The sequence below is a fragment of the Homo sapiens genome, chromosome 6 (assembly GCF_000001405.40).
Source record: "Homo sapiens chromosome 6, GRCh38.p14 Primary Assembly".
NCBI classification, from domain to species: domain Eukaryota; kingdom Metazoa; phylum Chordata; class Mammalia; order Primates; family Hominidae; genus Homo; species Homo sapiens.
Genome location: NC_000006.12, coordinates 73,279,154 through 73,306,537, shown reverse-complemented (window position 1 = coordinate 73,306,537; position 27,384 = coordinate 73,279,154). Strand labels below are relative to the sequence as shown.

Sequence of the window (27,384 nt, the reverse complement as noted above, 5' to 3'; positions counted from 1 at the left end):
GTTCAGTTGCAGGAGTGAGATTCTCAGAAACCAGGTTGGAGTGAGTTGAAAAATTTAAATGGGGATGCATGTGGAATATGTTTAGTGGACGTTTTTAGTAAGCAGAACTGATGCTCCTGGATGGGAAAACCTGGGTAATTTTTGTTGGGATGGGGAAATAGCTGGGAACGGAGAGGCTGGGGGAAGAGGGAGCTTAATTACTCGGGGTGTCGGGTGAGGGAGGGCAGAGTTGATGCAGTGGGAGGGAGAGTCTAGAGGTAGCAGCCTCCAAGCCCCAGTGAAAGCAGAGGGGTTGTGATTTAGAGCTCTGGTGGAGGGGAGCAGTTTCTGGTAGAAGGAGGAGTATAAGTAGGAGCAGGAGGCAGGAAGGGTGAGGATTCAGGGAGCTATATGGAAAGATTCATTCTGGTTGAAGATAAAGAATACTCATTTTGTTTAATCCCTGATTACTTAATTTATGACTACTAATTAACATTTCCGCAATAAAAACACTAAATGCATATGTACCTGCTTTCATAACTAATAACCCAAAACTTACAGACTTAAAAATATAATTTGCTCAATTTAAAAATAATCAGAGGCCAGGCGTGGTGGCTCACACCTGTAATTCCATCACTTTGGGAGGCCAAGGTGGGCAGATCACTTGAGGTCAGGAGTTCAAGACCATCCTGGCCAACATGGTGAACCCCGTCTCTACTAAAAATACAAAAATTAGCGGGGTGTGGTGGCGGGCTCCTGTAATCCCAGCTACTTGGGAACCTGAGGCAGGAGAATCACTTGAACCCAGGAGGTGGAGGTTGCAGTGAGCCAAGATCGTGCCACTGCACTCCAGCCTGGGTGACAGAGTGAGACTATGTCTCAAAAAATAATAATAATTAAATCAAAATCCAATATATTATATTCTCTTAAATGCTAAAAACTTTTAAAAGTAGCTAGAATATCTTAAAAATTTATTTGTTAACCTTTGAGGGCTTGCTCAAGTGCCAGGTCCTTTCTGTTTTGGATGTGTGCTCTTCTTCAATATTCAAAGAAGCCCATGAGATTGGTTCTCTGATTACTGCCTTGAATTTCAGACACAGAGAAACTAAAAAACTTATCTAAAGTCACTCATCCAGTAAATGGAAAAGTTGAGGTTTGAATCTTGGCTCTTATGCTATGTTGTCTCCTTATGATTGTAGTGAATACAAAATAGATAACAGTTTCATTGAAACCAGTTTAAGAAAGGCGAATTCCATGACTTCAAATTTGTTTCTTTATTATCTCTCTCTATATTTTTTATATTATATATATATTTTTGAGATGGAGTCTTGCTCTGTCACTTAGGCAGGCTGGAGTGCAGTAGCGCAATCTTGGCTCACTGCAACCTCTGCTTCCCAGGTTCAAGCAATTTTCGTGCCTCAGCCTCCCGAGAAGCTGAGATTACAGGAGTCTGCCACCATGCCCAGCTAATTTTTGTATTTTTAGTATAGATGAAGTTTCACCATATTGGCCAGGCTGGTCTTGAACCCCTGACCTCAGGTGATCTGCCCACCTCAGCCTCCCAAAGTGCTTGGATTACAAGTGTGAAGCACTGCATCTGGCTTCTATACTTATTTTAATACTGGAATGGGATGCAATTTGTTATATATGTTCCCAGAATTGCAAAAATATTACCAGGATATATCTTGATACTTTGGGTTTTAGTAGTTTTCAAAGACCTCCAAAGAAAACGCATCCCAGACCAGCTATGTTGGTGACTGATAGATTCAGAAAGGAAACTGGACCTTGTTTCACAGTCCAGTTCTGTGAAACCTGAGCCAATTATTAGGCTAAGTCTAGCAATCCACTCATTATGTTGCCAACCTTTTCTTTGATTTTACTTAATTTTTGTTTTAAAGTATGTAATATATGTCATTGTAGCAAATTCAGAAGATATAAAAGGGTATGTGAACAAAAGTGGCTGGCGCAGTGGCTCACGCCTGTCATCCTAGTACTTTGGGAGACCAAGGTGGGAGAGATCTCTGGAGCCCAGGAGTTCAAGACCAGCCTGGGCAACATAGTGAGACCCCGCCTCTATTACATATATTTATAAAAATAAAACATGAAAAGCCTCTCCCATTCATGGCTCTCAGTCTTCCAGCTCTACCCAAATAAATTTTATGTAATATATGCATATTTTATATGTATGTATATGTATGTATTTTAATGTGTGGCAGGATATTTTATACATTGTACCTTTACTTTTTTCATTTTTAATTTTGAGATTTTAGACTTTCAAAAGAATTTCAAAAATCACAGTGTTTCAATACACCCACTACACAGCTTCTACTTATGTTAGCATCTTACCTAACCGTAGAACAATTTTTTTTCTTTTTTTTTTGAGATGGAGTCTTGCTCTGTCACCTAGGCTGGTGTGCAGTGGCATGATCTTGGCTCACTGCAACCTCCGCCTCCTGGGTTCAAGCGATTGTCATGCATCAGCCTCCCGAGCAGCTGGGATTACAGATGCCTGCCACCACGCCTGGCTAAGTTTTGTATTTTTAGTAGAGAAGGGGTTTCCCCACGTTGGCCAGGCTGGTTTCGAGCTCTTGACCTCAGGTGATCCACCCACCTTGGCCTCCCAAAGTTTTAGGATTACAGGTGTGAGCCACCGTGCCCAGCCCACAAAATAATTTTCAAAACCAAGAAATTATTTGCATTTCACCATTTTTTTCATGATTTTAGTTTTTCTGTTCTAGGATACAATTCAGAATCCCACATCATGTTTAGTTGTCCTATGTCCTTGGTCTTGTCTCATCTTTCACAGTTTCTTAGTCTATCCTGTCTTTCATGACCTTGGAACTTCTGAAGAATATCAGCTATTTTCTAGAATGCATCTCAGTTTGGGTTTGTCTGATGTTTTCTCAGGATTAGACTGAAGCTATACATTATTGAGAAGGATGCTACAAAATGATGTGATCATGTGCCCTTCTCAGTGCATCGTATTTCAGGACAGGTGATGTTAATTTTGATCACTTGGCTAGGAAATTGCTTGTGTTCTTTACTGAAAACTTGTGGTTCTTCCATTTGTATTACTAAATATTGTGGAGGAGATACTTCAGACTATGCAAATATCTTGTTTCTGCCTAAACCATCACCCGTGAGTTTTAGCATCAGGGGTCAATTTTGCCTGAGGCAATGATTACTGTGGTCCAGTGGTGATTTTCTCTCTCTCTCTCTCATTCCTTCTGCATTTATCAATGGGAACCTTCATGGAACAGCTGTTGTTTCTTCACCAATGGCTCCTGAATCCCCCCACCCCCAAATCTCTTGTAACCACCATTTTATTCTCTATGAGTTCAACTTCTGTACATTCCACACATAGGTGAAAGCATGAGATATTTTTCTTTCTGTGCCTGGTTTATTTCACTTAACATAATATCCTCCAAGTTTATCCATGTCACCGAAAATGACAGGATTTCCATCTTTTTATTTTTATTTTTGGGGCAGAGTCTCACTCTGTTGCCCAGGCTGGAGTGCAGTGGCACAATGTCGACTCACTGCAACCTCTGCCTCTTGGGTTCAAGCAATTCTTGTGCTTCAGCCTCCAGAGTAGCTGGGATTACAGGCGTGCGCCATCACACCCAGCTAATTTTTGTATTTTTAGTAGAGACCGGGTTTCACTATGTTGGCTAGGCTGGTCTCAAACTCCTGTCCTCATGTGATCGGCACACCTCGGCCTCCCAAAGTGCTGGGATTACAGGCATGAGCCACCGCGCCCGGCCAGATTTCCATCTTTTTAGGCTGAATAGTATCTCATATATCTATATCACATAATGACATTTCAGTCAATGATGGGCCTCAAATACAATAATGGTCCCATCAGACTATAATAGAACTGAAAAATTCCTATAACAGTGGCGTCGTAACCATCAGAATGGTGACAGCACAACACATGAAGTGTTTGGCATGATGCTTGTGTAAACAAACCTACTGCACTGCCAGTCCTATAAAAGGTACAGTACTACCCATTGTATTACAGTTGCCTACAGGATTCAGTTGTATAATATGCCATACAGGTTTGTAGCCTAGGGGTAATAAGCTTTTACCATATAGCTTGGGTGTATAGTAGGCTATACAATCTAGGTTTGTGTAAGTACACTCTATAATGTTTGCACAACTATGAAATCTCCTAACAGTGCATTTTTCAGAATGAATCCCTGTTAAATGATGCATGACTGTATTTTGATTCATTCCAGATTTTCTTTTCTTTTCTTTTATCTATTTTTTTGAGACAGAGTCTCGCTCTGTTGCTCAGGCTGGAGTGCAATGGCACGATCTCGGCTCACCACAACCTCCACCTCCTGGCTTCAAGTGATCCTCCTGCCCCAGCCTCCTGAGTAGCCGGGATTACAGGTGTGTGCCACCATGTCCAGTTAATTTTTGTATTTTTTTAGTAGAGGTGGGGTTTCACCAGTTGGTCAGGCTGGTCTCAAACTCCTGACCTCATGATCTGCCCACCTCGGCCTCCCAAAGTGCTGGAATTACAGGTGTGAGCCACTGCACCCAGCCCATTCCAGAATTTTTTTCTAAACATATACATAAATGAATCTATATAGAGTTCTTAAAATGTACATTATATATGGCAGCAGACAGGGTGCAGTGGCTGATGCCTGTAGTGCCAGCACTTTGGGAGGCTGAGGCAGGATTGCTTGAGCCCAGGAGTTCAAGACTAACCTGGGCAACGTAGTGGGGTCCCTCTCTCTTATATAAAAAAAAAAGTTAGCTGGACATGGTGGCACATGCCTGTAGTCCCAGCTACTTGGGAGGTGAGGTGGGAGTATCACTTGAGCCTAGGAGGTCGAGGCTGCAGTGAGCTGTGATTGTGCCACTGTACTCCAGACTGGGCAAGAGAGTGAGACACTGTCTCTAAGAAAAAAAAAATTTAAAAAACCCTAAGAAACCATTATACATATAGCACAGAATTAAGTATCATATAGTTTTCTGCAACTTGCTCTAAATTTAACAGAATGTTGGTTCACCTTTACAATATCCAGGACAGTATATTATAAGGTGTTTCCATACTGCATACACAATTCCGTCGCTAGGAATTCTGTTTACTTATGAAAGGTCCAGACACCTGTGTCCCAGAATGCTCTCGAAATCATTAGTGAAAAATTGGAGCATATGCAAGTGTCATTTAATGGATATAAAGACAGGTGATTTTTAACAGTGAGTTAGAGTTATGTATACTAACAAAATTGTAAATAATATATTGTTGATTTTAAAATGCCTGTTCAAAACTCTGTGTAGATTATGATAGAAATGGGGAATGAAGGGCAAGGTTTTTTTTTTGTTTTTTTACGGAGTCTCGCTCTGTCGCCCAGGCTGGAGTGCAGGGGTGCGATCTCGGCTCACTCACTGCAAGCTCCGCCTCCCGGGTTCACGCCATTCTCCTGCCTCAGCCTCCTGAGTAGCTGGGACTACAGGCGCCCGCCACCACGCTCGGCTAATTTTTTGTATTTTTAGTAGAGACGGGGTTTCACCATGTTAGCCAGGATGGTCTCGATCTCCTGACCTCGTGATCCGCCTGCCTCGGCCTCCCAAAGTGCTGGGATTACAGGCGTGAGCCACCGCGCCCAGCCGAAGGGCAAGGTTCGTGTCTTCTCAAGATTTTGTTTGAATTCATTGGACACGTATGACCCATGCTGAGGACCAGTCAGACAAGCATGGTAAACTGGCAAGTCTGGCGGCACTGGCTTAATTCTAAGGAAAACTGGATTTTCCATTGGCCTAAATATCCTAGACAACTGCAAACCAAAGAGGTGAAGTTTTTTCCACTTCCAGTATTTAGTCAACCCACTGACATTTTACCTGCATACAGGGCTTATGGATGCCACATGGGGGAGTGAATCCTAAGTTGTGTCTAGTCTTTCATTCAACAAATATTTATGGAGCACATTGTATGTGCCAAGCAGTTCTAGGTGAAGCGAGTACAACAGTGGTGGAAGGAAGGAGTCCTTAGGAGTTCATAGTCTAGTGGTGGTGATAGGGGAAACAGGCATTAATAATGTCTGCTAATTAATTAAGCAAGATTAATGAGAATAACACATAATTGGGTGAGGATATAATTTGGAGAAAAAAAGCAGAGGAGGAGGATGATGTTGTGATTTTCAATTGGGAACCCAGGGAAGGTGTCAGTGGAAACCAGGTAATATTTAATTAACAGACCAGAAGGTGGTGTGGAAAGTGGAAGGGGGAATGAGCTACAAAGCTACGAAGGAAAAGTGAACCGTAAGTGCAAGGGAGAGACAAGGAGAAGGAAGGAGAGAGAAATCTGGAGGAGGAGTCCAAGGTTTAGAGCCTGAACATCCTGAAGAGTGACACTGCCTTGAACTGATGTGGAGAACACCTTCCATGTAGCAGGTGTGTGGGACGGAGGTCAGGGCTCTGGTCGGGTCCTTCAAGGTTAGTTCATGGGAAGCGTGAGGGGATGAGTAGGGGAGGCTGCGATTATGGATGTGAATCCAGAGTCTCCAGCAAAGGGATGTTATTTAACGCCAGGAGACTGCAGAGAGTACCAGGAAGTGAGTGGCTCCGATCCTGAGAAGGTGGGGAACCAGCCTAGGGCCTCACCTGCTCACTCAACTACCCCTGTGTACTTTGTCCCTGCGTTCTCCTCAGCCCAGGAAAAGAATCCCCTCCTTACCCCGCCCCCACTTATCCCAGCAGAATCCCCTCCTCTCATCCCTCCGCCTAGACCACACCGCGGTCTCATTCATTGAAAACCTGATCTGTATCAAACTGGGCCATTCAGGCCAGGTTGGCAGGGTCCTTGTCACCTCCCGTAGGAGCCGCAGGGTCGGGAGGCTGGCGTGTCCAACAGCGCGAGGGGTCCTGGCTGGGGGGTCTGAGCTAGGCGTGCAATCCCGAGCCCCCTCCGCCCCTGCATCCTTCCGCCCTTTTAGGCGCCCCGCCGGCCACACAGGGCCAGTGTGCAGGGCGTGAGGGAGGGACGCGGCCCAGAGGGGCGGCTCCTTGACGCCACCCAGCGCAGCCCGGAAGCAGCCGGAGGTCCCAGCTGGGGAGGGGTGGGGGGACGTTGGATGGCTGGGTTCTGTCACGTCCCCTCCCAGCTCCGCAGTCAGCGGCTCCGTTGGAAGAGAATGTGAACCGCGCTGTCTCCAACAAAGCTGCTCACGGAACAGTGCGTTTAACTTGGCTGCTGGTCGTCGGAGGCGTCAGTCCCTTCAGCAGGGGCGGCTGCTGTGCCCACCCCCGGGGCTGTGCGCCAGAGAACGGTCAGACTCCGCCAGGGATTCTTCTCCTGAAAGAAAAGCACCAACTATCTCCCGAGCGAGCTCTCGACCCACGAAGGCCCTCCCCCGTGCTGGTCCAGCTGCGTGCTGTCGGTGGCATCTGGTGGCTCTAGTCTTGGAGGTTTCCGCGTGCTCCCATTTCTTGCCGTTTTTCTCACTAACGCAGAGGGTCTCCCAATAGGTCTGACACCAGCCTCGTGGACCCTGAAAGATGAAGTCAGCCTCAAGTCGGCAATTCCTTGCCGGAATTCCCCCTTCATTCACTTACTCTCTACAAGTTGCATCCTCTGTCTTCGACATCCCACACTCCTCCTCTTCCTCCCCGTAAGGAGTGTAATAGTATATGTTTACTTAGAAATTTCCCAGGCTGTGGCTCCTCCATATAATCCTAGCTACTTGAGAGGCTGAGGCGGGAGGATCGCTTGAGCTAAGTAGTTGGAGGCTGCAGTGAGCTATGATTGTACCACTGCATTCCAGACTGGGTGACAGAGCGGAATCCTGTCTCTAATAACATCTTAAAAGTTTACAGGCCGGGCGTAGTGGCTCAAGCCTGTAATCCCAGCACTTTGCAAGGCCGAGGCAGGTGGGTCACCTGAGGTCAGGTGATCCTGACCCTGACGGACATGGTGAAACCCCGTCTGTACTAAAAATACAAAAATTAGCCGAGTGTGGTGGCGGGTGCCTGTAATCCCAGCTACTCGGGAGGCTGAGGCAGGAGAATTGCTTGAACCCGGGAGGCGGAGGTTGCTGTGAGCCAAGATTGCGACACTGCACTCCAGCCTGGGTGACAGAGCAAGACTCTGTCTCAAAAAAAAAAAAAAAAAAAAAAAAAAAAAATTTGCAAAGTATAGAGTCCTTCCAGGGCAACAGCTTAGTCTATATTGGAATAGCCTAGTAATGGGAAGAACTCTTGCCAAGGAAAATGGGATTGAGAAATGCTGCATGTGGGAAACTTGAGCCTGTCCTTGCATTTGTCCCATGTGATCCTGGATAAAACCTACTCTCCCTCCTCCATAGCATGTTGAATTGTGTCATCTTCCTCTCCAGTTGGGTTCTACCTGGTCCCTAGGAATGATTGCCTTGACCTCTACTTTTTTTTTTAGACAGAGTCTCGTTTTGTCACCTTCACTGCAACCTCTGCCTCCCAGGTTCAAGGATTCTTCTGTCTCAGCCTCCTGAGTAGCTGGGAATACGGGCATGCCCCACCATGCCCGGCTAATTTTAGTATTTTTAGTAGAGACAGGATTTCACCATGTTGGCGAGGCTGGTCTCAAACTCCCGGAGTCATGTGATCTGCGGTTTTGCCAATATACCTCAGCATCTTGCAAAGGGAGATTTTTGCTAGGACACCGTAGGCCAGAATTTCAGTGCAGGTTTGAGCCAACATTTGGAAAATTAAACCTTGAAGACTCAAGTTATTTCAACAAATCATTTGGAGAAAATCTTTATAAACAAATGTTGAAGTCATTTCTGCTGTAGGAATTCTGGCCATTGCATGGGCTCTGCTTGCCATGTATTCCTGCTTGCATTTTCCAATAATGATTTTTTAAAAAGAAAGAACACTTAAAAGCATATACATTGATTTTGTTCAAAAATCAATTTTAATGCTTCTTGTGTTATAATGTTAGCAACAAGGCTAGTGAGTATATAAATTGGTTCAACCTCAATGGGAAGACATTTGGCAATACCTTATCAATTGGAAAGGTACACACCCCTTGACACAGCAAATCTACGTTTGGAATTTCATCCTGTATTTATACTCCTACTTGTAAGAATTGACGTGTACAAGGATATTGATTGCAACAGCATTACTGACAAAGGCAAAAGATAGCATACAAACTAAATATTCATGAAACAACAGAAAAACACATTTAAAAATAAAAAGCAGTGAAAAGATAAGTGCTCATCATCATGAAATCTATATTTTAGTGGGAGAAAAAATAATTTGTATTTAGATGAAGTGCCAAATGCAACAATCCTCAAGATACATTATTAAATGAAGAAAAAAAAGGTGCAAACTGTGTGTATTGTATACAGTGTTAAAAAATATATATATAGTAGGCTGGTAATGATGGCTCATGACTGTAATCCTAGCACTTTGGGAGGCCGAGGTGGGCCTATCACCTGAGGTCAGGGGTTTGAGACCAGTCTGGCCAACGTGGCAAAACCTCATCTCTACTAAAAGTACAAAATTTAGCCAGGCATGGTGGCACGTGCCTGTAATCTCAGCTACTTGGGAGGCTGAGGCAGGAGAATTGCTTGAACTCAGGAGGCAGAGGTTGCAGTGAGCTGAGATCGCACTGCCGCACTCTGCCTAGGTGACAGAGTGAGACTCTGTCTCAAAACAAAAACAAAAACATATAGTACATATGTCTTTGTGTTTGCGTAGAATAGTTTTGAGAAGATATAATTAACTGAGAGAGGTTGAAAAAGACTTCACTGTATAGTGTTTGTGTAATGCATACTACCTATTCAAAATAATTCGTAAAGGCATATGTGATGTGGATTTGCAAACTGGATAGTCTGAAATCAAGTCCTCCTCCCCAACTCTTGGGATCTGATGAGATTATCATAGTGCTAGAAAGAGAACTATCTGAATGTTACATATGCCAGGAGTGTATAATAAAAAAAGTTTGAATCCAAATGTAAATTAAAAAGTATACGTGTATAATAAAATCAGTTTTTGCAACCCACTTATGTATAATGTGATAACCATTCTAGTTGTGATATTCATCTCATTTTCAGTGTTAGAAGCATTTAAGGATATCTGATACATTAGATTTGTGTATGTGTGTGTTTAATTTTTTTTTGATGGAGTCTCACTCTGTCACCCAGGCTACAGTGCAGTGGCATGATCTTGGCTCACTGCAACCTCTGCCTCCTGGGTTCAAGTGATTCTCCTGCCTCAGCCTCCTGAGTAGCTGGGACTAGATATGTGCCATTACACCTGGCTAATTTTTATATTTTTAGAGGAGACAGGGTATTGCCATGTTGCCCAGGCTGGTCTCGAACTCTTGGCCTCAAATGATTTGCCCACCTCGGCCTCCCAAAGTGCTAGGATTATAGACATGAGCCACCGCACCTGGCCGTGTGTGTGTGTGTTTTCTTTTTAGTTTTTTGAAATGCAGTCTCACTCTATCACCCAGGCTGGAGTGCAGTGGCACGATCTCGGCTCACTGCAACCTCCGCCTCCCAGGCTCAAGCGATTCTCCTGCCTCAGCCTCCCGAGTAGCTGGGATTACAGGTGCCTGCCACCATGGCTGGCTAATTTTTGTATTTTTAGTAGAGATGGGGTTTCACCATGTTGGGCAGGCTGGTCTTGAACTCCTGACCTCAGGTGATCCACCCACCTCGGCCTCCCAGAGTGCTGGGATAACAGGCGTGAGCCACCGTGCCCCGCCTTTTTTTTCTTTTTGAGATGGAGTATCACTCTGTTGCCCAGGCTGGAGTGCAGTGGCATGATCTCAGCTCACTGTAACCTCTGCCTCTCAGGTTCAAGTGATTCTCCTGCCTCAACCTCCCGAGTAGCTGGGACTACAGGTGTGTGCCACCAGGCCCAGCTAATTTTTGTATCATTAGTAAAGATGGGGTTTCACCATGTTAGCCAGGCGGGTGTCGAACTCCTGACCTCAGGTAATCCGCCCGCCTTGGCCTCCCAAAGTGCTAGGATTACAGGCGTGAGCCACCGCGCCCAGCTGTGTGTGTTTTTAAAGAGACCCCAACATGGAGAGGGTCTTGTTATGTTGCCCAGGCTGGTCTCAAACTCCTGAGTTCAAGTAATCCTCCTGCCTGGGGCCTGCCAAAGTGCTGGGATTACAGGCGTGAGCCACTGTGCCCGACCTAGATTCGTTATTAGTGCATTCTTGCATTGCTGTAAAAAAAATACCTGAGATTGGGTAATTTATAATGACAAGAGGTCTAATTGGCTCTCGAGTCTGCAGGATGTACAGGAAGCATGATGCTGGCATCTGCTTGGCTCCTGGGGAGGCCTCAGGAAACTTACAATCATGGTGTAAGATGAAGGAGGAGTAGGCACATCACATGGCCAGAGCAGGAGCAAGAAGTTGCAGGGGAGGTGTCAACAGCTTTTTGTTATTGTGGTTGTTTTGAGACAGGGTCTTGCTCTGTCGCCAGACTGGAGTGCAGTGTCTGGGATGTTGGCTCATGGCAACATCCAACTCCCGGTTCAAGTGATCCTCCCACCTCAGCCTCCCAAGTAGCTGGGACCACAGGTGTGTGCCACCACACCTGGTGACTTTTTATATTTTTCAGAGAGACAGGGTTTTGCTATGTTGACCAGGCTGGTCTCTAACTCCTGGACTCAAGCAATCTGCCCACCTTGGCTTCCCAAAGTGTTGGGGTTACAGGTGTGAGCCATGCCACATGCTTTTAAATGACCAGACACCATGAGAACTCACTATCATGAGAACAGCACCAAGTGGATGGTGCTAAACCATTCATGAGAAAGCTGCCCCCATGATCCAGTCAACTCCCGTGAGGCCCCACCTCCAACACTGGGGATTACAATTCAACATGAGATTTGGGCAGGTACACATATCCAAACTATATCAGTTACTTTAATGAAAAGTTTATAAAATTAAATAATTTATCACTGTTAATGGATGAGTGGCATGTTGCTAGGTTCCTAAATTCTATTTTAAGAGCTGTGGAAACAATTATTTAATTTTAAAGGAATATTAAGAGTTATGATTAATACAAATATATTTGGCACATAACAAAGAATAAATAGATGTCCTCTCCATTCACAAAAGTCCTGTTAATACGGGATGCTACATATCAAATTAGGAAGTAGCTGCTAGTTATGATAGAAATTATTCCACAAATATGTATCAAGTGCTAAATATGTGCAGAAGTGCTGTTCCTTTTTTTTTTAAGTCTTCATCTAATAAGTCTAAAGCAGATGCTGTTCTAGGTGCTGTGGATATACTGGTGAACAGAAAACAAAAATTTCTATCTTATGGCACTTCTTTATGCTGTTTATGCTGGGGACACAGCAGGAAACAAGACAGCAAAATCTTCATTCTTGTGAAATTTAAAGTTTTAGAACAGGGAAAGAGACAATAGATCCATAAATGTATGTTAAAGTAAAAGTGGGCAGAAGATGCTGACTTTTTGTTTTGTCTCGAGACAGTCTTGCTCTGTTGCCCAGGCAACCTTGAACTTCTGGTTGGTCTCAAGCAATCCTGCCTTGGCTTCCCAAATGGCTGGTGGTTTTTTTTTGTTTTTTTTTTTTTGAGGTGGAGTCTCACTCTGTTGCCCAGGCTGGAGTGCAATGGCGTGATCTTGGCTCACTGCAACATCTGCCTCCTGGGTTCATGCGATTCTCCTGCCTCAGCCTCCTGAGTAGCTGGGATTACAGGTGCGCACCATCATGCCCGGCTAATTTTTGTGTTTTTGTAGAGACGGGGTTTCACCATGTTGGCCAGGCTGGTCTTGAACTCTTGACCTCAGGTGATCCACCCGTACCTTGGCCTCCCAAAGTGCTGGGATTACAGGTGTGAGCCACTGCACCCAGCCTATGGCTGGGATTACACTTGTAATCCCAGGTCAAGTGATTCTCATGCCTCAGCCTCCCAAGTAGCTGTAATTACAGGCATGTGCCACCATGCTTTGCTAATTTTTTGTAGAGATGGGGTTTTGCCATGTTGGCCAGGCTAGTCTCAAACTCCTGGCCTCAAGAGATCTGCCTGCCTCGGCCTCCCAAAGTGCGGGGATCATGGGCGTCAGCTACTGCACCTAGCCTCTTTGTAACTTCTTACAACTACATGTGAATCTATAATTAGCTTAAAAGGATTAAAATTTTTTTGTGAATTAAATTTTTTTGAATCAGTCAATTTTATTCCAATTCTTCACAATTTACACTCAATATGTTGTTTCCAAAATGTAAGTCACCCTTTATATAATAGTTTTATTATTTCATCTTTCTTTTAGAGTTTTTTTAAAATCTTTTCCTTATGTTTCTTCAGTAGAAGCCAGAATCTTGAGTTGCCCAGTTAGGAGCCTCTGACCTGCTATTGTCATTAAGTTTCTTCTCAATATTCATGGCCAAAATCTAGCTTCTAAAAGAAAGGCTTTTGGTCTTTTCAATCACTTGCTGATAGGGTGAGAGTACATTGTTACCATAACCACATGACCTAATTTAGAATCAATCTTGGCATCCAGTCTTGCATTTCTAATCACATTTACAATCCACCTTTCAGTTTCATCTGGAGTCATGTTCAATTTGTCTGCCAACATGTTAATGCTGATACACTGGTGGATGTGACAGAAAGTCTCAAATATGAAGAGATGGGCATTGTCAATGAAATCCTTAAGACAAGCCACCAAGAAGTCGTTCACAAGCACTGATTCACATTCTCTCAGCTTTTTCTTAGCCCCATCTAAGTCAAAGTTAATCTATAAGCATTCAACAAATTCTGTAATTGGGTCTTTATATGTGTAAGACTCCTGTTGAGTAACTTTACCTAGATCTTTTAGCACCTGCCAACGTTTTCGAACATCCTTGTTTGCTATGACTGCTGTAGTCAAATAGTGAAGAATGTGTGGACACATTAAGATGCTGTGGCTGGTAAAGGAAGAGATCAACAATATTATCACAACCTTTGGGGTGATTGAAGAAAACAGAGACCAGTGAACGAGCCATGCTCTCTGCTGAAGAGACTGGAGTGGAGAACTCACAGAATTATTATCTATGGTCTCTTTTAACCATGTAAGGTCTTCCATGTCTGCATCCCAATTCTGCTTTAAGATTTCAGAGGCCAGCTTTCCCCAGAGTGAACTTACAGCATTTCTGTCTGTTGCTGGAACCAACACTCTGAAAAAATAAAGATATTCTGCTGCTCCTGAGTAATTCCCACATTCATACTGGAATTTTGCATATGTGTAGAATGTATCTAAATACTCCTGCCTAAAACCATGCTTGTCCGCCAGGTAGTCAAAGAGCATCCTACCATCCCTGGTTGACCGCATTTGCCTTGTCGTTTCTGGATCTTCAAACATTTTCACAATTAGTTCTGTTTCTGCCTGAAGCTGTTTCAGTTGTGCAACAACTGTGGTTCTATTCTCTTTCAAAGCATGAGGAATATCATCAGAATAAAGGTTTTTGTATGCATCCATAGCAAAGTCTACCATGTTGGCATCACTAAGAAGGTCCAATTTACCTTGTAATAATTCCTTTTCTTTATATATCTCCTTTACAGAGAGAAACTCAAGGAGCGGAAAGACTAGATGCCGATCCAAAAGGTGCGTGATGCGAGTAGTTAAGTCGTACCCCGCCATCTTACCAAAAAAAGGGAGTCTGTGCTAGAGAATTAAATTTTTAAAAATAGATTCAGGAGGTGCATGTGCAGGCTTGTTACATGAATGTATTGTGTAATAGTGAGGTTTGGGCTTCCAGTGTGCCCATCACACAAATATTAAACATTGTATCCAATAGGTACAATGTTTACTTCTTCAACCCTCACCCCCCTCCCATCCTTCCCCCAAAGATTAATTAAAAATAAAACAAAATCAGAATTTTAAATAATTCAAAATCCACCTTAACGTAGGTCCTGATCTTGGGACCCTTTAGCAACCATACACCACTGCATTCTGTTGATAACAGAAACTGGGTACACCAGGCACGGTGGCAAATGCCTATAATCCCAGCACTCTGGGAGGCTGAGGCAGAAGGATTGCTTGAAGTTAGGAAGTCAAGAACAGCCTGGGCAACAAAGCGAAACCTCTATCTCTACGAAGAATTAAAAAAAAAAGTGGATAATTTAGACTTAAAGAGATATTTTGGTGCAAAAGGATTAACATTACATGTTCCAACTTAAAAGATCATAATTTCCTGCTTAATAACATTCATGTTAAAGTCTACCAGATGTTACTTAAACATTGCCACTTCAGCTGTTCGTGTTTTCTTGGAAACTGTTGTTTATTTCCATCAGCGTTATTTCCATCTTGTTTAAGAGCTTGTGGAAGAACAGCTTAAGGCCACTCAGTGGTTATTCTTACCCATTCAGTGGTCTGAGCAGTGGAAGTTGCAGACCAGTCATTCATGGTAGGCTAAGTGCTCCAATCTTCAGTAGGGAACTGCTGAATAGGCACAGAGGGCACCTGCATGTCTTTAAACCAGTCTGCAACCTCAGATTGAGTAGCAGTAAACTTGCACTACAGCAGTCCATTCACTTTGAAATTCCTCCTTTTTCAGCTGCAGCCTACTCTTCCTTTTCAATCTCTTCAGGATCTCTATAGAAGTAGAGATCAGGCATGATCATGGGAGATGGTGCAACACATGCACAGAGCTTCCTGGGCCAGCATCCACTACATTAGACTCAGTGATTGAGCTTCCTTGTTGTTGCATGGGATGACAATATCCACATAGCTCAGAGGAGAATCTGTTACATACAGCAGTGGTAGGTAGGTAGGTTACCATAAGAAGCCCCTGAGAGAGGCTGATAGTTAGCCCTAGAATCAGTAACCACCAGAAGATGTGGGTGGCAGAAGATGATTGGATCTGGTTAGCAAAGGTTCCAGAAGTGAAGTGACCAGCAATACATGTGGCTCCAGCAGCAGCAGCAAACTTCAGCACAGCCCACTAGCTAGTATTCCTGCAGGATATGACACATCAGCAGGGTTTTCAATGGCAACAATGGCATGAGCTGCCAGCAGAAGCTTCTCCCAGTTCCTCTTCAGATTTATGATATATTTGTGGACTTTGGATCTTGTTAGAAAAAAAAAAGATTATGATATAGATGCCATCACCTTCATTTTTAGATGTACTATCATTCCATTTGGAAATCAAAGTTAGTGTCACCTAAGTGACTTCCTGCTGCAAGAAATTTGAGGACATCAAGGGCTCTGGACATTGTGAAAGTTTCCCTTTAAGTTACAACAGGAATCCAGAACAACACTGTATGGACCCCTCTCTGGGTAGCACAGAAAGCTAGCTTTTTTTCTTTTTCTTTTCTTTTTTTTTTTGGGATGAAGTCTCGCTCTGTCACCAGGCTGGAGTGCAGTGGCATGATGTCAGCTCACTCCAACTTCTGCCTCCCGGGTTCAAGCGATTTCCCTGCCTCAGCTTCCCGAGTAGCTGGGACTACAGGCATGCACCACCATGCCTGGCTAATTTTTTTTTTTTTTTTTTTTTGAGACGGAGTCTCGCTCTGTTGCCCAGGCCGGACTGCGGACTGCAGTGGCGCAATCTCGGCTCACTGCAAGCTCCGCTTCCCGGGTTCACGCCATTCTCCTGCCTCAGCCTCCCCAGTAGCTGGGACTACAGGCGCCCGCCACCGCGCCCGGCTAATTTGTTGTATTTTTAGTAGAGACGGGGTTTCACCTTGTTAGCCAGGATGGTCTCGATCTCCTGACCTCATGATCCACCCGCCTCGGCCTCCCAAAGTGCTGGGATTACAGGCGTGAGCCACCGCGCCCGGCCGCCTGGCTAATTTTTTGTATTTTAGTAGAGATGGGGTTTCACCATGTTGGCCATGATGGTTTCCCTCTTGACCTTGTGGTCTGCCCCACTCAGCCTCCCAAAGTGCTGGAATTACAGGTGTGAGTCACAGTGCCTGGCCGTTTTTTTTCTTTTTTCTGTTGTTTGTTATGAGACAGGGTCTTACTCTGTCACCCAGGCTGGAGTGCAGTGGCGTGATCATGGCTCACTGCAACCTCTGCCTCCTTGTTCAAGTGATTCTCATGTGTCAGCCTCTGGAGTAGCTGGGATTACAGGCATGAGCCACCATGGCCTGGCTAATTTTTGTATTTTTAATAGAGACAGGGTTTTGCCATGTTGGACAGGCTGATCTTGAACTCCTGGCCTCCAATGATCCACCCGCCTTGGCCTCCCAAAGTGCTGGGATTACAGGAGCCACTGTAGTTGGCCCAGATTTTATTCTTTTTTTTTTTTTTTTTTTTTTTTTTGAGATGGAGTCTCACTCTGTCGCCCAGGCCGGAGTGCAGTGGTGCAATCTTCGCTTACTGCAACTACCGCCTCCCGGGTTCAAGTGATTCTCCCACCTCAGCCTCCTGAGTAGCTGGGACTACAGGCATGTGCCACCATGCCTGTCTAATTTTTGTATTTTTAGCAGAGGTGGGGTTTCGCCATGTTGGCCAGGCTAGTCTTGAACTCCTGGCCTCAAGTGATCTGCCTGCCTTCGCCTCCCAAAGCGCTGATATTACAGGCATGAGCCACTGTGACTGACCTAGATTTTATTCTTATGCCTAATCCATTTGTCTGTCTGTGGCTGAAAAAGGATTATGTCCTTTTGTACTGAGTGTGTCTCTGATATGCAAGAAATGATTGGATATTTTAATCTATTTAGGTTTAATTGGGGCTGAAAACTTTAAGACCGTCTACTAGGCTGTGTTATTAGGCTAGGCTTTTCCATTATCTAAACACTCCCTACCTCTACCACCTGTCAGTAATTACCTTTTTTTTTTTTTTTTTTTTTGAGATGGGGGTCTTACTATACTATGTTGTTCAGGCTGGTGTGCAGTGGCTAATTCACATATGCCATCATACCCTTCTACAGCCTTAAACTCCTGGCTTCAAGTGATCCTCTGCCTCTGGCTCCTGAGTAGCTAGGAAAACAGGTGTGTGCCACTGCACCCTGCTCAAAGAAAACTTTTTTTTTAAGACGAAGTCTTACTCTGTCACCCAGGCTGGAGTGCAGTGGCATGATCTCAGCTCACCGCAACCTCTGCCTCCCAGGTTCAAGTGATTCTCCTGCCTCAGCCTCCTGAGTAGCTGGGACTACAGGCATGCACCAGTATGCTCAGCTAATGTTTGTATTTTTAGTAGAGATGGGGTTTAACCATGTTGCCCAGGCTGGTCTTGAACTCCTGACCTCAAGTGATTCACCCACCTTGGCCTCCCAAAGTGGTGGGATTACAAGCGTGAACCACCGTGCCCGGCCCAAGAAAACTGTTTCTGATCTTTTCTGATAGGGATGGAAGAGAATACTTACTTCTCCAGATCAGTGGCTGCATATCTCATATCAAAGGTTGTGTTAATCAGTTTCTAATAAAAACACCACACCTGGCACAGCAACTGCAATTAGTGCCACCACTTGGTTGAGTCTGCAGCAGTTCACTGCCGTCTTCTCGGATCCATCTGATTTTTGTAGGCACCAGAGTGGTGAACTAAATGGAGATATGATGATGACTAACTCTATCCTTTAGGTCTTTAAGGGTGCCGCTAGCTTCTGCCATTCCCCCTGGGATGTAATACTGGATTTGATTTGGTCTTGATCAGGAAGATGGTGGGGGCAGTTTCAGAGGGCTTCATTAGCCCTTCTCCACTCTAATTTCACCCCAGAGGAGTAGTATCAATATTAGAGTTGTGCCAGCTGCCAAGAATCTCCATTCCAAGTATACATTTGGAAGCTGAGAAAATGATCACTAGGTGGGTTATGGACCCAGTGTGCCCACTGTGAGCTAGATCTTAGGACTCCATTTATTACTTGACCCCATATGTCCTCCCTCTAAGAGGAGTGGCAGATGATGCTGAATCTACATGTATCATTGTCAACTGGGACCTTGTGTCCAAGAGTCTATGATGTTTGGCTATTTCTCTTTTCCCAGTGTATATTACTTGAAGTAAATGACTGTAGGTTCCTTTGTGGGAAGGAAGAGGGAACCATTACTATGTACTGCCATAGCATTGCCAGGTCCTTCCTCCTGGGGATCTGGCCTCTCCTTCAGTCATTCAGTTTCAGATCTGGAAACTGGCGTATGTCTGGAAACTGGGCAAGGGAGCATGAGACTACTGCTTCCAGCCTAATCATCTAGCCTTGATTTCTTTGATGTACAGATTGAATAGTACCCTTGTTGGCTGCCCAGGTATTTTTCCTTAGTCATTTAATAACCCTCTAGTAGTCAGGTCCCTCTGTGAAGCTGACTTGCCACTTGTTATGATGATTGTGTCTTTCTGGCATCTGAGGGTTAAGTGGCCTTGACTGGCCTTTGGGGGATAGTGGCTATCATCGCAATTGCTATTAGAGACCAGTTTTATCACGGCATCTCCTACTGTAAGTCCCGGCTCTCAGAGAAGAGCCACTACTGAACTTAGCAGTGTTGGTGACATTCTCACTAGAACATTTCTTATTGCTTTGGTAAGTAATATATTTTCTGGGTCCTCTTGTGGATTTTCCAACTATTTGCCGTATATAGTCTATAGCATACTCACTTTTCCGAGCCTTTTCATTCATCTACCTTTTGCTACAATTTTGGCATTTCTACCTCACTTAGTGTGGGCCACTGTTATTTCCATGCTTCTGGGAGCCATCCTGGTAGTAGGATTGCGTCATCTTTCAGGATCCTAGTCAGGGCATTAAATCCTGAAAGCAGTATCTGGTTCTTTTTTTTTTTTTTGAGACAGAGTCTCACTCTGTTGCCCGGGCTGGAGTGCAGTGGCATGAACTCAGCTCACTGCAATCTCTGCCTCTCAGGTTCAAGTGATTCTCCTGCCTCGGCCTCCCGAGTAACTGAGATTACAGGTGCAAGCTACCATGCCCAGCTAATTTTCACGATTTTTAGTAGAGACAGGGTTTCACCATGTTCGTCAGGCTGGTCTCAAACTCCTGACCTCAAATGATCCTCCTGCCTCAGCCTCCCAAAGTGCTGGGATTGTAGACGTGAGCCACCATGCTCTGCCCCATCTGGTTCTTTAAAATTATATATTGCTCTTTGTCATAACACATTCTGCATGCTCATCTTTGTAATTATTTTTAGAGAATAGAAGAGGTGTGGCTCTCAGTGCTTAGTTGATCAATGAAAAGTTGGTTTGTTAGTGATACCATCCATTATCTCAGGTATAAATGAGGGAATCAGGTCTCTTTATCATCAGGTCCCTCTTTTTCTTCAGAGTTCTGAATTTTCATATATTTCAAGAAAAGAAGTCCTCAAGAGCAGTGAATCTGAGAAATTAATGTGATTAGTATCTAATTATCACCAATATCATCTTATGTAAACTATATAGAGACTTTTTTGGAGTTCTGAATTTTTCCTTTACTGACTTAAAAAAACCCCACACAAACGAGTGAATCCATTTAGGACCAAGCAAGGAAAAGTAGCTCTTATTCCCTGACACACTGTGGTATGGTTTGGCAGCAGGATAAGGCTGGGAATGGGTGTAGAGTTCTCACTGGCTACACAGATGGGTTCTAAGTCTTGCCTTGCGGAGTTGACAGTTTTGCTGAATCATGTGGATAGATAAGTTTAATAGTTTTCCCCTTTGTCCTTTCCCTTCCTAAATGTGATTATTTATAGGAAATGTGCTTTGGAAACTAGCATAAAGGAGAAAAAAGGCCTTTCCAGTTTGTCTTTTAAAGAACAAGCTGGGGATGGAGTTAAGATAAGATTGAGCTCCATCTGGTGGCTAACTTTGATCAGTTCTTGGAACTAGGAACTGACCAAAATCTGGAAAGCCTGATTCTTCTAAAAATAGAAAATGGGGGAGGGATAGCATTGGGAGATATACCTAATGCTAGATGACACATTAGTGGGTGCAGCGCACCAGCATGGCACATGTATACATATGTAACTAACCTGCACAATATGCACATGTACCCTAAAACTTAGAGTATAATAAAAAAAAAAAAAAAAGAAAAAAAAGAAAATGGGCCGGGCACAGTGACTCAGGCCTGTAATCCCAGCACTTCGGGAGGCCGAGGCAGGCAGATCACCTGATGTCAGGAGTTTGAGACCAGCCTGGCCAACATGGCGAAACCCTGTCTCTACTAAAAAAATACAAAAATTAGCTGAGCATGGTGGCAGGTGCCTGTAATCTCAGCTACTTGGGAGGCTGAGGCAGGAGAATTGCTTGAACCCGGGAGGCAGAGGTTGCAGTGAGCTGAGATCGTGCCACTGCACTCCAGCCTGGGCTACAGAGCTGGATTCCATCTTAAAAAAAAAAAAAAAGAAGAGTCATGATAAGCATGAATAAGGCATAGAGGCCAAATCAGCAGAGTCAACCTGCGGTCTCTGGTAGGACTGGTGGAATTTTTGCCAAGACTTTAAAAGATGATGAATAAAAAGTAACATTGTCTTTCTATGGCAAAACAAACTCTATGGAAATTTAAAGAGTGGGATATTTATAATGCAAAGTAACAGACACGCTGGGTGGCTCACACTTGTAATCCCAACACTTTGGGAGGCTGAGGTGGGCAGATCACCTGAGGTCAGCAGTTCGAGACTAGCCTGGCCAACATGGTGAAACCCCATCTCTACTAAAAATACAAAAATTAGCAAAGTGTGGTGGCATGCGCCAGTAATCCTAGCTACTTGGGAGGCTGAGGCAGGAGAATCGCTTGAACCCAGGAGGCAGAGGTTGCAGGGAGCCGAGATTGCGCCACTGCATTCCAGCCTGGGTGACAAGAGCGAAACTCCATCTAAAAAAAAAGCAAAGTAACAGACACAAAACTTCACAGGCAATCCTTTAATCTTTTCAAGATTCAAAGAAGGTCAGGAAGGGTGGATAAGCCTGATATCCCAAGAGAAAGGGCAGCTTTAAGAGCATACCTGGAGTTTGAGCCTGGCAGGTGAGGCTGCTATCAATCCAGCAATGTTGTAATCATCCAACAGATTCTTCTTGCCTGCTGCACAGGGAAATCCAATTCACTGAGACAGCATTGTGGTAGTAAAGAAATAGTTTAATTTAATTAATGCAAGGCCAGCCAAGCAGAGAGACAGGAGTTTAAGATTACTAAAATCTGCCTCCCTGAGAGCTCAGAGGCCAGAGTTTTTATAGATAATTTGGTGGGCAGGGGGCTAGGGAATGGTTGAAGATGAAATCTTAGGGGTGTGGAAAATGGTCCTTGTGCACTAAGCCCACCTCTGGGTGGGGACCACAGGACTGGCTGAGTCAGGAGTCATGGGCCCCGGTAGGGTATGTCAGTTGCCAGAATGCAAAAGTTTGAAAAACAATTCAAAAGATCAATCTTAGGTTTTACAATAGTGATCTTATCTATAAGAGAAACTGAGGAAGTCACAAATCTTGTAACCTATGACCACATACCTTCTGAGCAGTAAGGGATTACAAAAACTATGCCTACATTTTGGCAGAAGTCAGGCCCTCTCATAATCCTAATATTGTGGGTTTTCATTAGTCTTACAAAGGCTGTTTCAGTTCCTGAACAAGGAGGGGATCCGTTTTAGAGAGGAACGATTATCATCCTTGCCTTAAAGTTAAACTAGAAATTAAACTCCTCCCAAGGTTAGTTTGGCCTATGCCCAGGAATGAGTGAGGCTAGAAGCAAGATGGGGTCAGCCATGCTAGACTTCTCTCGGTGTCATAATCTTTGCAAAGGTGGTTTCAATGTGCTGGAGAGGATGAAGGGTGGAGTGGGAAAATACTGCAGTTATCAAAGAGGAAAGAATGGTGCCAGGCACGGTGGTCACTCCTGTAATCCCAGCACTGTGGGAGGCGGAGGCGGGAGGATCACCTGAGGTCAGGAGTTCAAGACCAGCCTGGCCAACACGATGAAACCCTTTCCCTACTAAAAATACAAAAATTTGAACCTGGGGGGCAGAGGTTGCAGTGAGCCAAGATCGCGCCACTGCACTCCAGCCTGGGCGACAGAGAGAGACTCTGTCTCCAAAAAAAAAAAAAAAAGAATGAAAACCAGTGAGGTAAAGCTTCAACTCCAAAAATTAAAGAAAACAGAATGATCCTAAAGAAACAAAAACTAAGGGCCGGGTGCTTACACTTGTAATCCCAGCACTTTGGGAGGCCTGGGAAGGAGGATCACTTGAGGTCGGGAGTTGAGACTTGCATGGATCACTTGAGACTAGCCTGGGCAACACTGAGACCCTGTCTCTATATAACAAAACACCTAAGGAAATAAAAGATTAAAGCAAAAGCCAATGGAATAAGAAACAAAATAGGATAAACAAAACCACAAGCTGCTTCTTTTTAAAAAAAAAAAACTAGTAACACTTGAGTCCACACAGTTAAAAATGAATAATTAAATAAGTGAGGTAGAACAGACAAATCTCCCATGCAGAATTTCAAATAATTTATGTAGGTACTCTGTCCTTATGGAGGTGGAGCATAACTCCCGGTTCCTTCATTAAATGTGAGCTATACGTAATGACTTCCTTCAAAAGATTACAATAAGGAAAAGGAAGGTATGAGTAACTTTACAGTGGAGAGGACTGACAGACTACTTCAGCCTGATGATCAAGGTCAACATAAAAAGTGAAGTCATGTTAATAGCATGTACCTCCGGTATGTAACTGCCCAGTGGCTTCACCTTGCCCATTTCCTAGACAGAGCCAATTTATAAAGACAGGCGAATTGTAATAGAGAAAGAGTAATTCACGTAGAACAGGCTGTGCAGGAGACCAGAGTTTTATCATTACTCAAATCTGTCTCCTGGAGCACTCGGGGATCAGAGTTTTTAAGGATAATATGGTGGGTGGGGGAAGGACAGTGTGTCGAGTGTTGATTGGTTAGGTCAGAGATAAAATCATAGGGAATTAAAGCCTCTTGCACGGAGTCAGTTCCTGGGTGGGGGCCACAAGATCAGATGAGCCAGTTTATCGATCTGGGTGGTGGTGCCAGCTGATCCATCAAGTGCAGGGTCTGTAAAGTATCTCAAGCACTGATCTTAAGAGCAGTTTAGGGAGGGTCTGAATCTTGTAGCCTCCAGCTGCATGACTCCTAAACTATAATTTCTAACCTTGTGGCTCCTTTGTTAGTCCTACAAAGGGAGTCTAGTCCCCAGGCAAGGAGGTTTGTTTTGGGAAAGGGCTGTTATCATCTTCGTTTTAACCTATAAACTAAGTTCCTCCTAAAGTTAGTTGAGCCTAAGCCCAGGAATGAAAAAGGACAGTTTGGAGGTTAGAAGCAAGATGGAGTTGGTTAGATCAGCTCTCTTTCACTCTCAGTTATGATTTTGCAATGGCAGTTTCAGGTATAATGTGATGAAAATGGCGCTTACTTTATGGTCTTCCTCCTCAAAACCCCTAATCCCAGTCTAATCATGAGACTTCAGACAAACTCCACTAGAGTGGCATCTTTTTTTTTTTTTTTTTTAGACAGAGTCTCACTCTGTCACTTGGGCTGGAGTGCAGTGGTGTAATCTTGGCTCACTACAACCTTCGCCTTCCGAGTACAAGCAATTCTCATGCCTCAGCCTCCTGAGTAGCTGGGACTACAGGCGCATGCCACCACGCCCGGCTAATTTTTGTATTTTTAGTGGAGATGGGGTTCCACCATGTTGGCCAGGCTGGTCTCAAACTCCCAGCCTCAAGTGATCCACCCACCTTGGCCTCCCAAAGTGCAGGGATTACAGGCGTGAGCCACCGGACCTGGCCTAGAGTGGCATCTTAAAATATGCTTGACCAGTATGCCTCAAAACTGTCAAGGTCATCAAAAACAAAAAAAGTCTGAGAATCTACCACAGCCAAGAGGAGCCTAAGGAGACATGATGACTAAATGTAATGTGGTACACTGTTTGGGCTCCTGGGGCAGAAAAAGGACCTTAGGTAAAAACTAAGGAAATCAGAATAAAGTATGGGCTTTAATATAAGATGTTAATAATAGGAAAAACTGAGTGTGGAGTAAATGGGCACTCTGTACTATCCTCACAACTCTTCTGTAAATCTAGAACCCATTTTTTTTTTTTTTTTTTTGAGACGAAGTTTCACTCTTACTGCCCAGGCTGGAGTGCAATGGCGCGATCTTGGCTCACTGGAATCTTTGCCTCCTGGGTTCAAGCGATTCTCCTGCCTCAGCCTCCCAAGTAGCTGGGATTACAGGCGCCCATCACCACGCCTGGCTGATTTTTTATATTTTAAGTAGAGACGGAGTTTCACCATGTTGGCAAGGCTGGTCTTGAACTCTTGACCTTCAGGAAATGCTGGGATTACAGGTGTGACCCACTGCACCCAGGTGGTTTTTTGTTTTTTTTTTTGAGAGAGTCTCGTTCTGTCACCCAGGCTGGAGTGCCGTGGCATGAGCTTGGCTCACTGCAACCTCTGCCTCCCAGGTTCAAGTGATTCTCCTGCCTTAGCCTCCTGAGTAGCTGGGATTACAGGTGTGTGCCACCACGCCTGGCTAAATTTCTATTTTTAGTAGAGACAAGGTTTCTCCATGTTAGGCTGGTCTCAAACTCCTGATCTCAGGTGATCCGCCTGCCTTGGCCTCCCAAAGTGCTGGGATTACAGACAGGCACCACCATGCCAGGCTAATTTTTGTATTTTTAGTAGAGACAGGGTTTCCCCATGTTGGCCAGGCTGATCTCAAACTCCTGACCTCAAGTGATTTGCCCTACTTGGTCTCCCAAAGTGTTGGGATTACAGGCGTAAGCCACCATGCCCAGCCAAAACTTCTAAAGGATGTGCTTTAGGAAGAAGATATATGATCACAGAAGGGAGTTCTGGGGAAAATGCAAACTGACAAGATTTAAAAAGCTATTAAAAAAGAAATTAGGTTGGGCATGGTGGCTCACACCTGTAATCCCAGCACTTTGGGAGGCCAAGGTGGACAGGTCACCTGAGGTCTGGAGTTTGAGACCAGCCTGACCAATATGGAGAAACCCCATCGCTACTAAAAATACAAAATTAGCTGTGTGTGGTGGTGCATGCCTGTAATCCCAGCTACTCGGGAGGCTGAGGCAGGAGAATCACTTGAACCTGGGAGGTGGAGGTTGCGGTGAGCCGAGATTATGCCATTGTACTCCAGCCTGGGCAACAAGAGTGAAAAGAAAAAGTCTCAAAAAAAAAAAAAAAAAAAAGAAATTAAAGACCATTGTAATTCACAAATAAATCACATAAAAGGATATGTTTGGCTTGGCATGTTGGGTCATGCCAGTAATCTCAGCACTTTGGGAGGCTGAGGTGGGCTGATTGCTTGAGCCCAGGAGTTCGAGACCAGCCTGGACAACATGGCAAAACCCCATTTCTACAAAAAATAAAATACAAACATTAGCCGAGCATGGTGGTGCATGCCTGTGGTTCCAGCTACTTGGAAGGCTGAGATGGGAGGATCACCTGAGCATGGGTAGGTAGAGGCTGTAGTGAGTTGTGATTGTGCCATTGCACTCCAACCTGGGTGACAGTGAGACTGTCTCCTCAAAAATAAATAAAACAAAAAAGGATATATTTAATCTTTATTAATTTTAATTTGAAGGAGGGTAAATATCTGGGTATTATTTCTTCTATTAAGTGTAGGACTGGCTATCACATTTCTCTAACTATAAAAGTAGAGAAGGATGGATGTAGTAAACTGTGAATAGGCCAAAGGAACGCAGAAAAAGTAGGAACTATACCAAGAACAGGAATGATGAGCAACAATGATGATCACATACAAAATAACAAAATAGAAAGAGGGCCCAACAGTACCTTACAATAATGATGTAATAATACCTCATCTTGGCCGGGCAAGGTGGCTCACGCCTGTAATCCTGGCACTTTGGGAGGCCGAGGTGAGTGGATTGCATAAGCTCAGGAGTTGATCAGCCTGGCAACACAGCAAAACTCTGTCTCTACGAAAAATATAAACATTAGCTGGGTGTGGTGGTGGGTGCCTATAGTCCAAGTTACTTGGGGGACTGAGGCAGGAGGATTGCTCGAGCCTAAGAGGTCAAGGCTGCAGTGAGCCATGTTCGCCACTGCACTCCAGCCTGGGTGACAGCGACACCACATCTCTTCAAAAAAAAAAAAAAAAAAAAAAATCCATGGTCCCATGTTATCATTGAGGCAAATGGAGAAAAAAATTTCAATATATTTTCCCAATTATTAATATGCAATTTTCGCAGACTTTTCTTGATACTGTAGAGCATATAGAGAGATTTATATACAGTCAAATGTCCATATAGTTGACTTGGTTTTTTATTTTCATTTTTATTTTTTGAGACAGGCTCGGTCTGTCACCTAGGCTGGAGCGCGATCTTGGCTCACTGCAGCCTCCACCTCCCAGGTTCAAGCAATTCTCCTGCCTCAGGCTCCCAAGTAGCTGGATTACAGGTGTGCGCCACTATGCCTGGCTAAGTTTTTTGTATTTTTAGTAGAGACGGGGTTTCGTCACGTTGGCCAAGGTGGTCTTGAACTCCTGACTGCAAGTGATCTGCGAGCCTTGGCCTCCCAAAGTGCTGGG

General features: G+C 44.3%; 1 protein-coding gene, 2 long non-coding RNA genes and 3 pseudogenes across 36 annotated transcripts in view; 3 read left to right on the top strand and 3 right to left on the bottom strand.

Annotated features, from left to right (window-relative positions):
- The window catches only part of LOC122539213 (KHDC1-KHDC1L), an 86,616-nt gene that overhangs the window by 3,622 nt on the left and 55,610 nt on the right, over window positions 1–27,384 (top strand). For both annotated transcript variants that reach the window (NR_173146.1, NR_173145.1), the window contains exon 2: window positions 14,498–14,540. This is a non-coding gene — a long non-coding RNA (KHDC1-KHDC1L). The remainder of the gene's footprint in view (window positions 1–14,497; window positions 14,541–27,384) is intronic.
- The window catches only part of KHDC1 (KH domain containing 1), a 69,065-nt gene that overhangs the window by 3,841 nt on the left and 37,840 nt on the right, over window positions 1–27,384 (top strand). For both annotated transcript variants that reach the window (NM_001395215.3, NM_001251874.4), the window contains one exon: window positions 14,498–14,540. The gene's annotated coding sequence lies outside the window, so the exon portion shown is untranslated. The remainder of the gene's footprint in view (window positions 1–14,497; window positions 14,541–27,384) is intronic.
- The window catches only part of C6orf147 (chromosome 6 open reading frame 147), a 36,245-nt gene that overhangs the window by 3,841 nt on the left and 5,020 nt on the right, over window positions 1–27,384 (top strand). The window contains exon 3 of the long non-coding RNA NR_027005.4: window positions 14,498–14,540. This is a non-coding gene — a long non-coding RNA (chromosome 6 open reading frame 147). The remainder of the gene's footprint in view (window positions 1–14,497; window positions 14,541–27,384) is intronic.
- KHDC1-AS1 (KHDC1 antisense RNA 1) overlaps window positions 5,137–27,384 on the bottom strand; it is a 38,166-nt pseudogene continuing 15,918 nt past the window's right edge. For 5 of the 31 annotated variants that reach the window (NR_173125.1, NR_173118.1, NR_173116.1 and 2 more), the window contains 2 exons: window positions 21,804–21,902; window positions 11,835–16,005 (listed from right to left, as the gene is read on the bottom strand). The product of NR_173125.1 is annotated as a KHDC1 antisense RNA 1, transcript variant 18 (long non-coding RNA). Of the gene's footprint in view, window positions 16,006–21,803; window positions 21,903–22,988; window positions 23,117–26,630; window positions 26,774–27,384 lie in introns of all 31 variants that reach the window. The other 26 variants (NR_173124.1, NR_173122.1, NR_173108.1 and 23 more) reach the window with 15 other exon arrangements.
- Window positions 13,123–14,589, bottom strand: EIF3EP1 (EIF3E pseudogene 1; annotated as a pseudogene).
- Window positions 15,203–15,988, bottom strand: RPSAP41 (ribosomal protein SA pseudogene 41; annotated as a pseudogene).